This window comes from Homo sapiens, chromosome 1, assembly GCF_000001405.40.
Source record: "Homo sapiens chromosome 1, GRCh38.p14 Primary Assembly".
Taxonomy (NCBI): Eukaryota; Metazoa; Chordata; class Mammalia; order Primates; family Hominidae; genus Homo; species Homo sapiens.
Genome location: NC_000001.11, coordinates 241,979,504 through 241,994,651, shown reverse-complemented (window position 1 = coordinate 241,994,651; position 15,148 = coordinate 241,979,504). Strand labels below are relative to the sequence as shown.

Sequence of the window (15,148 nt, the reverse complement as noted above, 5' to 3'; positions counted from 1 at the left end):
TTTTTGTAGAGTTTTTGTATTTTTAGTAGAGTTTCTCCATGTTGGTCAGGCTGGTCTCGAACTCCTGACCTCGGGTGATCTGCCCACCTCGGCCTCCCAAAGTGCTAGGATTACAGGCATGAGCCACTGCACCCGGGTTTTTTTTTTTTTTTTTTAATCGTAGGTTTCTTACTGGTCCTGCTTCCATGAGTGGCTGTGACCAGGGGAAAAGGAAGAGGAACCTGTCGGCACAGGGAGGGGTCATCTTCACAACATTCCATTTAAACACAGAACTAGACAAGCACAGAGTCACTATTGTGGTTAGAAGTTGGCAGCATGGGGCCGGGCGCAGTGGCTCATCCCTGTAATCCTAGCGCTTTGGGAGGCTGAGGTGGGCAGATTGCCTGAACTCAGGAGTTCAAGACCAGCCTGGGCAACACGGTGAAACCCCATCTCTACTTAAATACAAAAAATTAGCCGGGCATGACAGTGCACACCTGTAGTCCCAGCTACTGGGGAGGCTGAAGCAGGAAAATTGCTTGAACCCAGGAGGTGGAGGTTGCAGTGAGCTGTGATCACGTCACTGCACTCCAGCCTGGGCAACAGAGTGAGACTCTGTCTCAAAAAAAAAAAAAAAAAAAAAAAATAGTTGGCAGCATGGGAAGGGGAAGGAACAGGTGGGGAGTGCGGGTGTTGTTAAAAAAAATACAGTCTCCCTCACAACTCGGGTGCCTGGGGGGAACTTGATCTGCTTCAACCCGAGAGGAATCAGAAGATCCAAAGCAGTCTGGGAAGGCCAGAACCGTCAGGGATGGAGGGAGAAGGAAAATCCACGGTGGGAGGTCTGTTTGGCAACTGGGCTGAAGGGATTGCCCTCCCCCTACTGGGGTCCCTCCAGCCCCTCCGGTCTGGTAGGAAGGGGGCAGCCTGCAACCCCTGAGGGCAGAGGTGGGGCTGCCAGATGCTCCAGGCAGGGAGCCAGAAAGGGCTCACAAAGGCTTGCCCTCCAGGGGGATGAAGGCACTGCCCCCCACCTTCTCTGCCAGGGTGCAGCGGTCCTTGACCTCCTCGTAGCAGTTTGCTTGTAATTCTTGCTTGATCCCTGTCAGCTTCTTCTTGATGGCATTTTTGGAGCTGGCATAGATCATTTTGCTCGTAAGGGGTGCCCATTCAGTGGCCCAGAAGATAAACACCAGGTCCTCCTTCTTGCTCTCCTTGGTCTCATAGATTGTGTCGTAGAGGGCACAGTGGCAGTTCTTATCTGGCAGCATCTTGACAAAGGCGGTGTAGGGGTCATGGATGGTCTGGCCCACGTCACCCACCAGGATCTCATTGCCTTCCCCCAGGATGATGTTCTTGTCCTCACTCAGGCAGAAGAGCACCGTCTTCTGTGCCTCTTCACCTTCTCTGGCGTCAAAGACTTACACACCTTCATGTCGTTGAACACCTTGATGACACCATCAGAGATGACTGAACCTTTTTTTTGTTTGTTTTTGAGATAGGGTCTCACTCTGTCTCCCAGGCTGGAGTGCAGTAGTGCAATCTCGGCTCACTGCAACCTCCACCTCCCGGCTCAAGCGATTCTCCTGACTCAGCCTCCAGAGTAGCTGGGACTATGGAGGTGTGCACCACCATGCCCAGTCAATTTTTTAAATTTTTTGTTGATACGGAGTCTCACTATGTTACCCAGGCTGGTCTCAAACTCCTAGGCTCAAGTGATCCACCCATCTTAGCCTCCTAAAGTGCTAGGATTACAGGCATGAGTCACCGCACAGGCCAGGGAGGGGATTTTTAGTGTGGTAATGAAGAGAGTTCTCCAAAGTTCAGCTCCAACTCAGGCATCTCTGGATCCAGCTGGTTTTTGTGTTTTCCTGGGGTTGAGCTTCTTCCTGGTACTTTTGGAAACAAGAACTTAAGGTGCAGCAGGTCACAAGTGGATATGTTTTCACAGTGCTTGCCCAACAAACTAGCGACCCTGGATTCTATTACTGTCATTTTACAGATAAGGAAACTGAGGCCTAGAAAGATCAAGAATATTTTCCATTTTCACATAACATAGTCTCATCAGGACTTCAGGTTGGGGAGCCACATTTACAAGCCATGCTGCTAGCTTTCTGCTGGGCTCCCTACCTAAGTTGAAGTGACTTTACTTGACAAGGACGGGAAACTTGAGCTACAGTGTTGAGTGACACTAACACAACCTACAGAGGGGACAGGAGGTACAGTAGAGCTCCATGAATGCATTAACCATAGGGTATTTCAAGGCCGGGCGTTGTCACTCACACCTGTAATCCCAGCATTTTGGGAGGCCAAGGCAGGTGGATTGCTTGAGCTCAGGAGTTTGAGACCAGCCTGAGCAACATGGCAAAACCCCGTTTCTACAAAAAATACAAACATTAGCTGGATGGTGGTGTGCACACCTGTAGTTCCAGCTACATGGCTGAGGCAGGAGGATCGCTTGAGCCTAAGAGACAGAGGTTGTGGTAAACTGAGATCTCGCCACTGCGCTCCAGCCTGGGTGACAAAATGAGACCCTGTCTCAAAAACAAAACATAGGGTGTTTCATTCATCAACAGTGCAACAAGAACAAGTGCTTGGAGAGTATGGTCACAGGAGATACTGCAGCCTCAAATTCCTGGGTTTGTGAACTGGGTTTTGAAGTGTGGATGAGAGTTTATTTAGGAAGGAGTTTTATTGATTTTCAGCAAACATTTATTGAGCATTTACTGACTATCTACTAGCACTATTTTGGGTCCTGAAAATACCTCATTGAACAAGGTAGACAAGGTCCTGGCCCTCATGGAGCCCAGTTTAATGCTAGCAAGGGAAGGAAGATAGCACTCAGATATTTATAAGTACAATAAAAAAGAAGAAAAAAACTCAGTGATTGGCAGATGGAATGCATTTTCCAGGTGATCAGAGGGAGAATAATTTTCACTTGGGCCAGAATGATGGAACGGAGCCAGTGGTGGAGACGGAACACACCAGGCAGAGGAAGGCATGATTGAGAAAAGGGTCCTACTGTCTAAGAGTTTTACAAGCAGGATTCCAGGGTGGCTGCAGCCAGTGACAGGGAGAAAGAACTAGGCAGGTCTTCGGGGCCCTGTAAATTTTGTTAAGGTATTTGGACTTGTATAAAAGACAAATGATGGAAAGAGGAAGCATTCTAATGGGAGAGAGAGAGTTTGTTTTGTTTCGTTTTGTTTTTATTGAGGCAGAGTCTTGCTTGCTCTGTCAACCAGGCTGGAGTGCAGTGGCATAATCTTGGCTCACTGCAACCTCTACCTCCCAGGTTCAAGCTATTCTCATGCCTCAACCTCCCGAGTAGCTGGAATTACAAATGTGTACCACCACACCTGGCTGATTTTTGTATTTTTAGTAGAGATGGGGTTTAACCATGTTGTCCAGGCTGGTCTTGAACTCCTGGCTTCAAGGGATTCACCCGTCTCAGCCTCCCAGAGTGCTGGGATTATAGGGCATAAGCCACCGTGCCCCGCTGAGAGAGAGCATTTGTTCAAGAAGCTGGAACTCAGAGAAGATGTGAGCTCCCTAAAGTCCCTCAAAAGTGCTGGGCCTGGCAGATCTCCTGGGCTCACTCCTTCCGGGGCCTGCTGTTTCCTCCTCTGGGCTGCTTTCCCCACTCCCAGGTGGCTGCTCACCCTCTCTCCTGCCTGTGGCTGTCCTTGCCCTCCCTGGCTTGTCTGCTGTAGTCAGTTCCTCTAATATGTCCTTCAAGTCATCTGTGCCATATGCCAACTAAAAACCCTGACTCCTAGGTTCCTTCTCCAGACATACTCTTACTGCTTAGCCTGGTTCAATGAGTATTCTTCCCAAATAAATCTACTTTCTGGAGTGATTTTTTTTTTTTGAGGTGGAGTCTTGTTCTGTTTTTTATGCTCATGGAGTCTGTGGTAAGGGGATTTCAGAAAACGTACACGGTGACAGCTTGTCTATGCTCCACGGTGCCCGGGGACTCAGCCAGAAACACCTGAAGGCTGGGAGTGACTTAAATCGCTGGGAGCTGAGGGCACAGTGGCTCACGCCTGTAATCCCAGCACTTTGGGAGGCCAAGGTGGGCAGATCATGAGGTCAGGAGATCGAGACCATCCTGGCTAACACGGTGAAACCCCGTCTCTACTAAAAATACAAAAAATTAGCTGGGCGTAGTGGCAGGCGCCTGTATTCTCAGCTACTTGGGAGGCTGAGGCAGGAGGATTGCTTGAACCCGGGAGGCGGAGTTTTCAGTAAGCCGAGATCGCACCACTGCGCTCCAGCCTGGGCGACAGAGCGAGACATCTCAGGAAAAAAAAAAAAAAAAAAATGGCTGGGAGCTGAAATCATCCAAAGGCTTCTTCATTCGCAAGTCCAGCCCCTGGGCTGGGATGACTCAAGGTTGGGGCCAGCTGGGATTGAAGACTGGAGTGACTCCAAGTGGCCTCTCAGCAGGTGGCTGGGTTCCAGGAGGGAGCATGCTCGGGAGGAGTGGCCAGAGAGCACGTGACCCAAAAACCAGGACAGATGCTGATCTGTGCGTAAGGGATGGATTTCAATTGTTTTTAGTCTGGATTTTTTTTTTTTAAGCATCTACTCAGGTACTTAAAATTAATCAGTGATGTATTCTGTGAAGTATTACTTTTCTTTAGGCGTTTCATCATTTTCTATTGATTGTTGTAGTTGAATGATTAATTATGTGTCATATATATTAAAAAGAATTGCTCCATTTATTTTGACCTTGTTTATAGAAATTTTCTCATGTAGTTGTTTTTATTTTATTTTACTTTTTTTTGAGACGGAGTCTCGCTCTGTCGCCCAGGCTGGAGTGCAGTGGTGTGATCTCGGCTCACTGCAGCCTTCTGCCTCCCGGGTTCAATCAATTCTCCTGCCTCAGTCTCCTGAGTAGCTGGGATTACAGGCATGCGCCACCATGCCCGGCTAATTTTTGTATTTTTAGTAGAGACGGGGTTTCACCATGTTGGCCAGGCTGATCTTGAACTCCTGATGTCATGATCCACCCGCCTTGGCCTCCCAACCAGGTTTCATCTTTTTCCAAATGCCTAACCAATTTTTCATGCACATTTACTGAATAACCTCTCCATGGGTGTTTGAAAGTGCTGTGATTGTGTGTCTATGTCTTAGCACCATGGTTACACCAAGGAAACTGCTTCAGAACATGGACTGTAACATGTTTTTTCATTCCTCAGTGCTCCCAGAAATGCTAAGTACATCTTAGGTAGTTAATTAATGCTTTGCGATAAATTAGAGCACCTGCAGTGTCAACTTCAGAGGGAGAAAATAGAACTACTTATATTGAATTTCGGTGGTGTGAGTGACTGCTTTTAGTCACTGGGTCAAGCTGGGAAACCATTATATTTTTTGCGGGCAGTTGGTTTGTTGCAATGTATTAGTCACTCTCTCCCCAACCCCTAAAATAAACGGGGGCCAGCTGCTTATGTCACTGCTAACATGGGATCTACAGCTGGCCCCAGATTCACTTCAGTGCCTAGACTGGAGGTCAGCAAACTACTGCCCATGGGCCATTTGCTTTTGGGTCTATTTTTATAAATAAAGTATTACTGGCATGCAGCCAGACCCACTGGGTAATTATTGCCTCTGGCTGCTTTTGTGCTACAGTGACAGCGTTGAGTACTTGCCACAGAGACCATAAAATCTGCAAAGCCTAAGATATTTACTATCTGACCTTTTACAGAAAAAGTTTGCTGACCTCTGTTCTAGGTTTACAGTAATAGTTCTATCAAGATATCCTGGGGAATAAATCACAATAGAAAGGGTCTTTTAGGGCTGGGCGCAGTGATTCATGCCTGTAATCCCAGCACTTTGGGAGGCTGAGGCCGGTGGATCACCTGAGGTCAGGAGTTCGAGATGAGCCTGGCCAACATGGCAAAACTCTGTCTCTACTAAAAATACAAAAATTAACCGGGCATGGTGACGCGTGCCTGTAATCTCAGCTACTTGGAAGCTGAGGCAGGAACAATCACTTGAACCTGGGAGGTGGAGGTTGCAGTGAGCTGAGATCGTGCCACTGCACTCCAGCCTGGGTGACAGAGCGAGATTCTGTCTCGAAAGAAAGAAAGAGAGAGAGAGAGAAAGGAGGGAGGGAGGGAGGAAGGAAAGAAAGAAAGAAAGGGTCTTTTTGTTGTTGTTTTGGTCTCGCATGAGATAAGAAGAAAAGCATTGCCAAGTCTACTTGGCTGGCTGATTTCTGTCCTGCCAAGCCCTTGCCTGGAAGAGTTAATGCAGGCAGAGTTCTTCACAACTCAAAAGGCCTTCTTAGTCTCACAAGTCTCTTCAATATCCCCTCACCTTTCCTTTGCTGCTAAACTACATACAGGAGGGTCTTTTATGTAGGTGTTATTTTTGGGGTTTTTTTGTGTGGTTTTTGTTTGTTTGTTTGTTTGTTTTGACACGGACACGGAGTCTCGCTCTGTCGCCCAGGCTGGAGTGTAGTGGCGCGATCTCAGCTCACTGCAAGCTCCGCCTCCCGGGTTCACGCCATTCTCCTGCCTCAGCCTCCCGAGTAGCTGGGACTACAGGTGCCCACCACCAAGCCTAGCTAATTTTTTGTATTTTTTAGTAGAGGCGGGGTTTCACTGTGTTAGCCAGGATGGTCTCGATCTCCTGACCTCGTGATCCACCTGCCTCGGCCTCCTAAAGTGCTAGGATTACAGGCGTGAGCCACCATGCCCGGCTGTAGGTGGTTTTTTATAAGTTGATGTGTCAGTTATGTTGGCTGTGTTGTATTTAATCTTTTTTTTTTTCTTTTTTGAGACAGGGTCTCAGTCACACTGTCGCCCAGGCTGCAGTGCAGTGGTGGGATCAAAGCTCCCTGCTGGGCCTCCCAAAGTGCCAGGATTACAGGCATGAGCCACTGCACCTGGCGGGAGGTTTTTTATTTTTTATATTTTTATGTAAAAAAAATTCTTTTAGAGCCAGAGTCTCTGTCGCCCAGGTTGGAATGCAGTGGCACAATCTCGGCTCACTGCAACCTCTGCTTCCTGGGTTCAAGTGATTCTCATGCCTCAGCCTCCTGAGTAGCTTGGATTACAGGCACGCACCACCACACCCAGCTAATTTTTTGTATTTTTAGTAGAGACAGGGTTTCACCATGCTGGTCAGGCTAGTCTCAAACTCCTGAGCTCAGGCAATCCGCCCACCTCGGGCTCCCGAAGTGCTAGGATTACAGGCATCAGCCACCACACCTTGCCTGTATGGGAGATTTCTAAGTGTGTATTGTTTTCTTCCACAAACAAAAGAAGCTAGTTCAGGCCGGGCCCAGTGGCTCACACCTGTAATCGCAGCACTTTGGGAGGCCAACGATGGCCGATTACTTGAGGTCAGGAGTTCGAGACCAGCCTAGCCAACATGGTGAAACCTGTCTCTACCAAAAATACAAAAATTAGCCAGGCATGGTGATGCATACCTGTAATCCCAGCTACTTGGGAGCCTGAGGCAGGAGAATCGCTTGAACCCTGGAGGGTGGAGGTTGCAGTGAGCCGAGATCGTGCCACTGCACTCCAGCCTGGGCAACAGAGTGAGACCTGGCCACCAAAAAAAAAAAAAAACTAGTTCACACTTATTTTTCGGCAAACTCCAGGTTAGAAGACCTGAGCTTCTCGCAGAAGGTGAACCCAAGTTATCATCTAGGACAGAGTCTCCCAACTTCTGTGCAATTGACATTTGGGAAAATAATTCTTTGTTATGGGAGGCTGCCGTGTGCATTGTAAGATGTTCAGCAGCATCCCTCCCTGGCCTCTATTTACTAGATGCCAATAGCACTGCTCCCCCCATAGGATACCAAAAATGTTCCTAGATGTTGCCAGATGTTGGAGGAGGGCAAATTGCCCCCGGCTGAGAACCACTGGTCTAGACTTCACTCTAGACCCTGAGGGTGGTCTATAGACTAGCAGCATCAACATCACCTGATATGAAGTTAAAAATGCAGAATCTCAGGTTCTTCCAAACTACTGAATCAAAATCTGCAACTTATCAAGCTGCCCAGGCGATTGCTAATGTGCATAGGAATTCTGAATCTGAAGAATATGATTCCTGTGCACATTAGGGATCACCTGGGGAGCTTGATCAATTGCAGATTTTGTGTTCGAAAAGCGCAGGGCCGAACAGTGTTGGGTGGTAACACTGTGGCTGCTTTCTCCTCCTGCCCGCTGGAAAAAGGCCATCATTATGCTGCATCTATATTCATCCTGATTCCGGTTCAAACACAAGACAACATATTGAGCACATTCCTTGGCCCAATACTGCATTTAGAGACAGCATAGTGTCCTGGGAAGTGCTGGAGCTTTGTCATCAGACAGACCTGGGTTCAAAAGGAGGGTCTGCCCTGCCTTGCCCTGTCCTGGGGGATCATTTAATCCCTGCTCCAGGTTCTTCATCTGAAAACCCCTAGTCGAGGCTTCAGAATAGAAAGTCCTTCAGAACAGCCCATCATGAAGAGATTGGTACACTTTTAGCTTCAAAGTTTTCGTATCATTTATATGTTCCTCACAAGCGATGAGATCTCAACCGCACCAAGTTTCCAACCAACAGGACTGTACTACCTGGAATAGCTTCCTCTGTCAGGAAAGCTCCAGCTAGTTCAGAAGTGTCTCCTTCGACCTTTAAGTCAATGCCGACAAAAACCAGCAGGTGGCAACAGCTTGGCTTCTTTGAGTTTGGAAATGGCCAAGCAGTTTGTGGTCAATAAAAATAAATTCTCCCCAACTAATTAATTAATTCTCCCCAATTAATTAATTTTTTTTAGACGGAGTCTCGCTGTGTTGACCAGGCTGGAGTGCAGTGGCGCCATCTCGGCTCACGGCAACCTCTGCCTCCTGGGTTCAAGTGATTCTCCTGCCTCAGCCTCCCAAGTAGCAGGAATTACAGGCATGCACCACTACGCCTAGCTAATTTTTGCATTTTTAGTAGAGACAGGTTTCATCATGTTGGCCAGGCTGGTTTCCAACTCCTGACCTCAAATGATCCACCCGCCTTGGCATCCCAAAGTGCTGAGATTACAGGCGTGAGCCACTGCGCCAGGCCTCATTTTATTTTTATATGCCACTTTTACCAAAAGATAAACACTGCCTGAAAATCTAGAAAACATAGCCACCACCATGCCACTGATACACCAAGCTATGGTATTAGAATGCCTTGTCAGTTCCAGAATCAGATTAACACCTCAACTCATCAGTGTAGACTCCTGAATCAACGGGAAATAAGAATCTAAAAGTGGGCGGGGTGGGTGGTGGGGGTGGTCCAGGTTCTTCCTTCAATTGATCTTGGTTCCAGAGTAACTTAAGTCCGGGCACGGTGGCTCATGCGTGTAATCCCAGCACTTTGGGAGGCTGAGGCAGATGGATCACTGGATGTCAGGAGTTCAAGACCAGTCTGGCCAACATGGTGAAACCCTGTTTCTACTAAAACTACAAAATAAAAAAGTAGCTGGGGCTGGATGCAGTGGCTCACGCCTATAATCCTTGCACTTTGGGAGGCCGAGGCGGGCAGATCACCTGAGGTTGGAAGTTCGAGACTGGCCTGACCAACATGGAGAAACCCTGTCTCTACTAAAAATACAAAATTAGCTGGGCGTGGTGGCACATGCCTGTAATCCCAGCTACTCAGGAGGCTGAGGCAGGAGAATCACTTGAACCCAGGAGGCAGAGGTTGCAGTGAGCCGAGATCACGCCACTGCACTCCAGCCTGGGCGACAAGAGCGAAACTCCGTCTCAAAGGAAAAGTAACTTGGTATTTAGAGAAGGATACAGGCTGGGCATGGTGACTCATGCCTGTAATCACAGCACTTTGGGAGGCAGAGGCAGGAGGATTGCTTGAGGCTAGGAGTTTGAGGCCAGCCTGGGCAACATAGTGAGACCCCATCTCTAAAGAAAAAAAAATTATTTAAAAAAATTTTTTAAAGGAGAGGGATGCTCTCAATAGGAGACAGAAGGTTTTCAATTACTGAAAACGACCAGCCCCAATTGTAAAACAAAATGGACAGTGTCTTGTGGATTTAAATGACACGGTCTTCTAAGTGCCATATTTTCTGGGAACAGCCCCTTGCTTTGGCCCTCAAAGATGTTGCAATGGCTTTGCATGCCACATCCTAACATTTCACGAGCTGGCCCTACTCAGTGGCTCATTCAGTCTGGCCCACAGCCTGCTTCTCCAGCGTTTTGACGTCACTGCTCACAGTGCTTCCTCTTTTGCCTAGAGTGTGCTCCCTCTAGGGATGAGCTCCTTCCACTCATTTTTCAAGGTTCAAGGCAATATCTTGGCTTGGTTATGTGCTCCTTCCATTTGACTCAGTATTTATTTAGGATCTACAATGGCCCTAGAACTCTTAGTCAATATTCACTAAGTCCTTGAAAGAGTTTATGCATGTATGTTTACATGTATGTATTTTTAGAGATGGGGGCTGGGCGTGGTGGCCCAAGCCTGTAATCCCAGCACTTTGGGAGGCCGAAGCAGGTGGATCACTTGAGGTCATGGGTTTGGGACCAGCCTGGCCAACATGGTGAAACCCTGCCTCTACTAAAAATACGAAAATTAGCCAGGTGTGGTGGCACATGCCTGTAGTCCCAGCTATATAGGAGGCTGAGGCAGGAGAATTGCTTGAACCCGGGAGGCAGAGGTTGCAGCGAGCCGATATTGTGCCATTGCACTCCAGCCTGGGTGACAGAGCGAGACTCAGTCTCAAAAAACAAAAAGACAGAGATGGGGGCCTCACTTTGTTGCCCAGGCTGGTCTTGAACTCCTGGGCTCAAGAGATCCTTCTGCCTCAGCCTCCCAAAGTACTGAGATTATAGGCATGAGCCTCCATTCCTGGCCTCGCAAATATTTATTAATACTATTATTCTCAATTTTAAAGACAAAAAACCTGACATTTAAAAAAATCAAGTAATTTTCCTAGAGGCACAAAATCAGTAATCCTGCCGATCAGATTCAGACTTGTATCATCTTTGTGCCAAATACCATGTGGGCCAGACACCAAAAAAGATTATTTGTTGTTTGTCTGAAATTTAAATTGAACTAGGGTGTCCTGTATTTTTACTTTTTAAATCTGGCAACTCTGCGCGTGCCCAAGCATGGGCTGTGGATGGCCCCGTCCCTTAGGAGTCTAACTCTTCATTACACAAATTTTTAAACAAATGAAATTGCTGGGCGAGGTGGCTTGCACCTGTCGTCCCAGCATTTTGGGAGGCTAAAGCGGATGGATCACTTGAGGTCAGGAGTTCAAGACCAGCCTGGCCAACATGGCGAAAGCCCACCTCTACTAAAAATACAAAAATTAGCTGGGCTGGTGGCAGACACCTGTAATCCCAGCTGCTCGGGAGGCTGAGGCACAAGAATCACTTGAACCTGGGAGGCAGAGGTTGCAGTGAGCGGAGATTGCACCATTGCCCTCTAGCCTGGGCAACAGAGTGAGACTCTGTCTCAAAAAACCAAACCAAACAAAACAAAACAAACAAACAAACAAAAAATGAAAATATACACCTAACTTTTGGGTCCTTATTTAAATTTCAGATAAACAGCAAATAATCATTATAACACAGTAAACAGGCTGGGCGTGGTGGCTCACGCCTGTAATCTCAGCACTTAGGGAGGCTGAGGTGGGCAGATCACTTGAGGCCTGGAGTTCAAGACCAGCCTGGCCAACATGATGAAACCCCATCTCTACTAAAAATACAAAAATTAGTCAGGCACGGTGGCTCGTGCCTGTAATCCCAGCTACTTGGGAGACTGAGGCAGGATAATTGCTTGAACCTGAGAGACGGAGGATGCAGTGAGCTGGGATCACACCACTGCACTGTAGCCTGGGTGACAGAGAGAGACTCTGTCTCAAAACAAAAACAAAAACAAAAACAAAAGATAGTAAACATATTTTTCTTGACTTCTTCATGTCTACTTTTCCAAACAGATTCTTGTTTATATGCAGATAACAAGGAGCTTGCTAAAATAGAAAAACACAGGTGAAGAAATCAAAAAACAATGCAGATGTCATAACTCATAGACCAAGACTTGGGATCAAAGCTCCTTCAGACAACAAACGCAAAACAGATATTTAGAGCATGAAATTAGAACAATTAAAGGAGCAAAGTAATGATGAAGAACTATGTTTTTGGTGATAACATGCTCAGATTTTCTGAGCCAGTTCTGAAGATCTTTCAGAAAAAGTGGCTTTCAGGTTGGAACCTGAATAAATTACCCATGCAAGTGTGGGGTGGGGCAAGCGTGTGGCTCCGAGACTGGAGGGGTGTGGGTGTAGTGAAGTAGAAGAGGACAGAGATGCCCTTCCGCCCTTCCTTTTTTTTTGAGACTGAGTCTCACTCCGCTCACTCTGTCACCCAGGCTGGACTGCAGTGGCATGATCTCTGCTCACTGCAACCTCTGCCTCCTGGGTTCAAGCAATTATCTGCCTCAGCCTTCTGAGCAGCTGGGATTACAGGCACCTGCCACAATGCCAGGCTAATTTTTTGTATTTTTAGTAGAGACGGGGTTTCACCATCTTGGCCAGGCTGGTCTTGAACTCTTGACCTCGTGATCCACCCGCCTTGGCTTCCCAAAGTGCTGGGATTACAGGCGTGAGCCACCGGCCTGACCCGCCGCCCCGCCCCCCACCCGCTTTTTTTTTTTCAGGACTAATTACGTTATAATTGGGTATTTGGTAAACTCCAAAGCCCTTCTTTAAGAGAAGTCAAATCTCAGAGCATAAAGCTTTTGCACAAATGTAAAGAGATTTTCTTTTTTTTGAATTTTTTTCTTTTGAGACAGGGTCTTGCTCTGTTGCCCAGGCTGGAGTGCAGTCGTACGATCTCAGCTCACTGCAACCTCCACCTCCCGGATTCAAGTGGTTCTCCTGTCTCAGCCTCCCAAGTAGCTGGAATTACAGAAGTGCACCATCACACCTGGCTGATTTTTGTATTTTTATTATAGTTGAGATGGGGTTTCGCCATGTTGGCCAGGCTAGTTTTGAACTCCTGGACTCATGTGATCCGCCTGCCTCGGCTGCCCAAAGTACTGGGATTACAGGCATGAGCCACCATTCCTGGCCCTCTATCTGGTTTACCTTTCCAATTTTTTTTTTATATTTTTATTTTTTGAGGTGGAGTTTTGCTCTTGTTGCCCAGGTTGGAGTGCAGTGGCATGATCTTGGCTCACTGCAACCTCCGCCTCCCGGGTTCAAGCGATTCTCTTGTCTCAGCCTCCTGAGTAACTGGGATTACAGGCACCCGTCACCACACCCAGCTAATTTTTTTTGTTTTTAGTAGAAATGGGGTTTCATCATGTTGGCCAGGCTGGACTCAAACTCCTGACTTAAGGTGATCCACCCACCTCGGCCCCCCAAAGTGCAGGGATTACAGGCGTGAGCCACTGCACCCGACCTCTGGTTTACTTTTAACATAAAGTTTTTAGTCCTTAAGGGCAAAGGATGGAAGAATACACAATTTTACCCCTTACTGTGTGATCCCCAACATGGATAACAAAGCAGGTTGAGTTTAAGTGGAAATCAGAAGCATGTCTCTTTGGCCTGGCATGGTGGCTTGCGCCTGTAATCCTAGCACTTTGGGAGGCCGAGGCAGGTGGATCACCTGAGGTAAGGAGTTCAAGGCCAACCTGGCCAACATGGTGAAACTCCGTCTGTACTAAAAATATAAAAATTAGCCAGTTGTCCTGGCGCATGCCTGTAATCTCAGCTACTCTGGAGGCTGAGGCACAAGAATCGCTTGAACATGGGAGGCGGAGGTTGCGGTGAGACGAGATTACACCACTGCACTCCAGCTTGGGCGACAGAGCGAGACTCCGTCTCAAAATATAAATAAAAAATAAAAGTAAGTAAACACTACTCTCCTGTTCTTGAAACACTTTTTCTTTTGTCTTTTAAGAGATGGGGTTTTGTGCTGTTGCCCAGTCGGGTCTTGAACTCTTGGGCTCAAGCGATCCTCTCACCTCAGCTTCCCAAAGTGCCAGGATTCCAGGTGTGAGCTACCATGCTCGGCCAAAACTCTTTTATGATTCCCAGTTGTGTGCTGGATAATTACTAGCATCCATGGTACGTTATGTGAGGTCCTCAATGAACTACCTGTCTGGCCTCATTTCTTGGGACTCTACTTCTAATGCCAAAGCTACAGACAGATTTTATTTGTGTTTAAGGACTATCCTCAAGTTCATCTGGCACCTTGTGTCTGTAGCATGTTTTAGTGACTGCTGCTTCTTCATGTGGCTTTGCTTTTCTTTTTTTGTACTTAACATTCTTCAGAGGCTGGCCATGGTGGCGCACGTCTGTAATCTCAGCACTTTGGGAGGCTGAGGTGGAAGGATTGCTTGAGTTCAGGAGCTGGAGACCAGCCTGGACAACATATGGAGACCTTGTCTCAATTTAAAAAAAAATTCCTCAGATGAAACCCTGAGAATTCCTGTTCTAACTAGCCCTCTTCCAAGGACATTCCCAATGAGCCTAAGAAAATCAACTCCCTGCCCCATATTTGCTCTGTAGAGAAATAGGTAAACACCAGCTGGGCATATCTGGCAACACTTTCAGCAATAAAATCAACTTTGGGTTGTGAAAACCAGATTTATTTATTTGGATATGGGACAGGATGGGCCTTTGGAAATTTTTCTAAACCTCAGTGCCATTTTTAGCATCTTTTAGAGATGCAAAATAATTTAACTTGGTGGCACAGAAATGGATTCTACGTGGCAGAGCCTGGGATGACTGATTTCCCTCTGTGGAACTGGCCTGTATTTGGGGTGCAGCTGACAGCTGCCGCACCTCAGCAAGCACTGAGAATTCAAACCAGCTTTGCCCAGAGCAGAGGTCCACAAACTTTTTCTGGAAAGGGCAAAATCATAAATATTTTAGACTCAAAGTTGTCTGCCACCACTCACCGACTCTGCCATTGTAGTTCAAAAGCAGCCAGAGACAATAAGTAAATAAATGGCTGTAGGATAAAATTATCTTTATGGATACCGAAATTTGGATTTAAACTTTTTCACATGTCCTGAAATGTAATTTTTCTTTTGTTTTTTCCCAATCATTTGAAAATGCAAAAAGCATTCTTAAAGAGCTGTACAGAAATATATAATAGGGTGGATTTGGCCCCTGGGCCACAGTTTGCTGACCTCGGCTGGATCAATGGCTCTGAGACATCAGCAC

At 47.1% G+C, this 15,148-nt stretch overlaps 1 pseudogene, besides 1 other annotated feature; it reads right to left on the bottom strand.

Moving 5' to 3' along the window:
- Positions 1-768: 768 nt before the first annotated feature.
- Positions 769-1,446, bottom strand: CFL1P4 (cofilin 1 pseudogene 4; annotated as a pseudogene).
- Positions 3,712-4,211: an enhancer, noted in NCBI's record as "H3K4me1 hESC enhancer chr1:242153743-242154242 (GRCh37/hg19 assembly coordinates)". NCBI's record gives its function as "activates a minimal SCP1, AML or CMV promoter by ChIP-STARR-seq in naive H9 embryonic stem cells {active_cell/tissue: H9 hESC(naive)}" and the evidence as "EXISTENCE:reporter gene assay evidence [ECO:0000049][PMID:30033119]".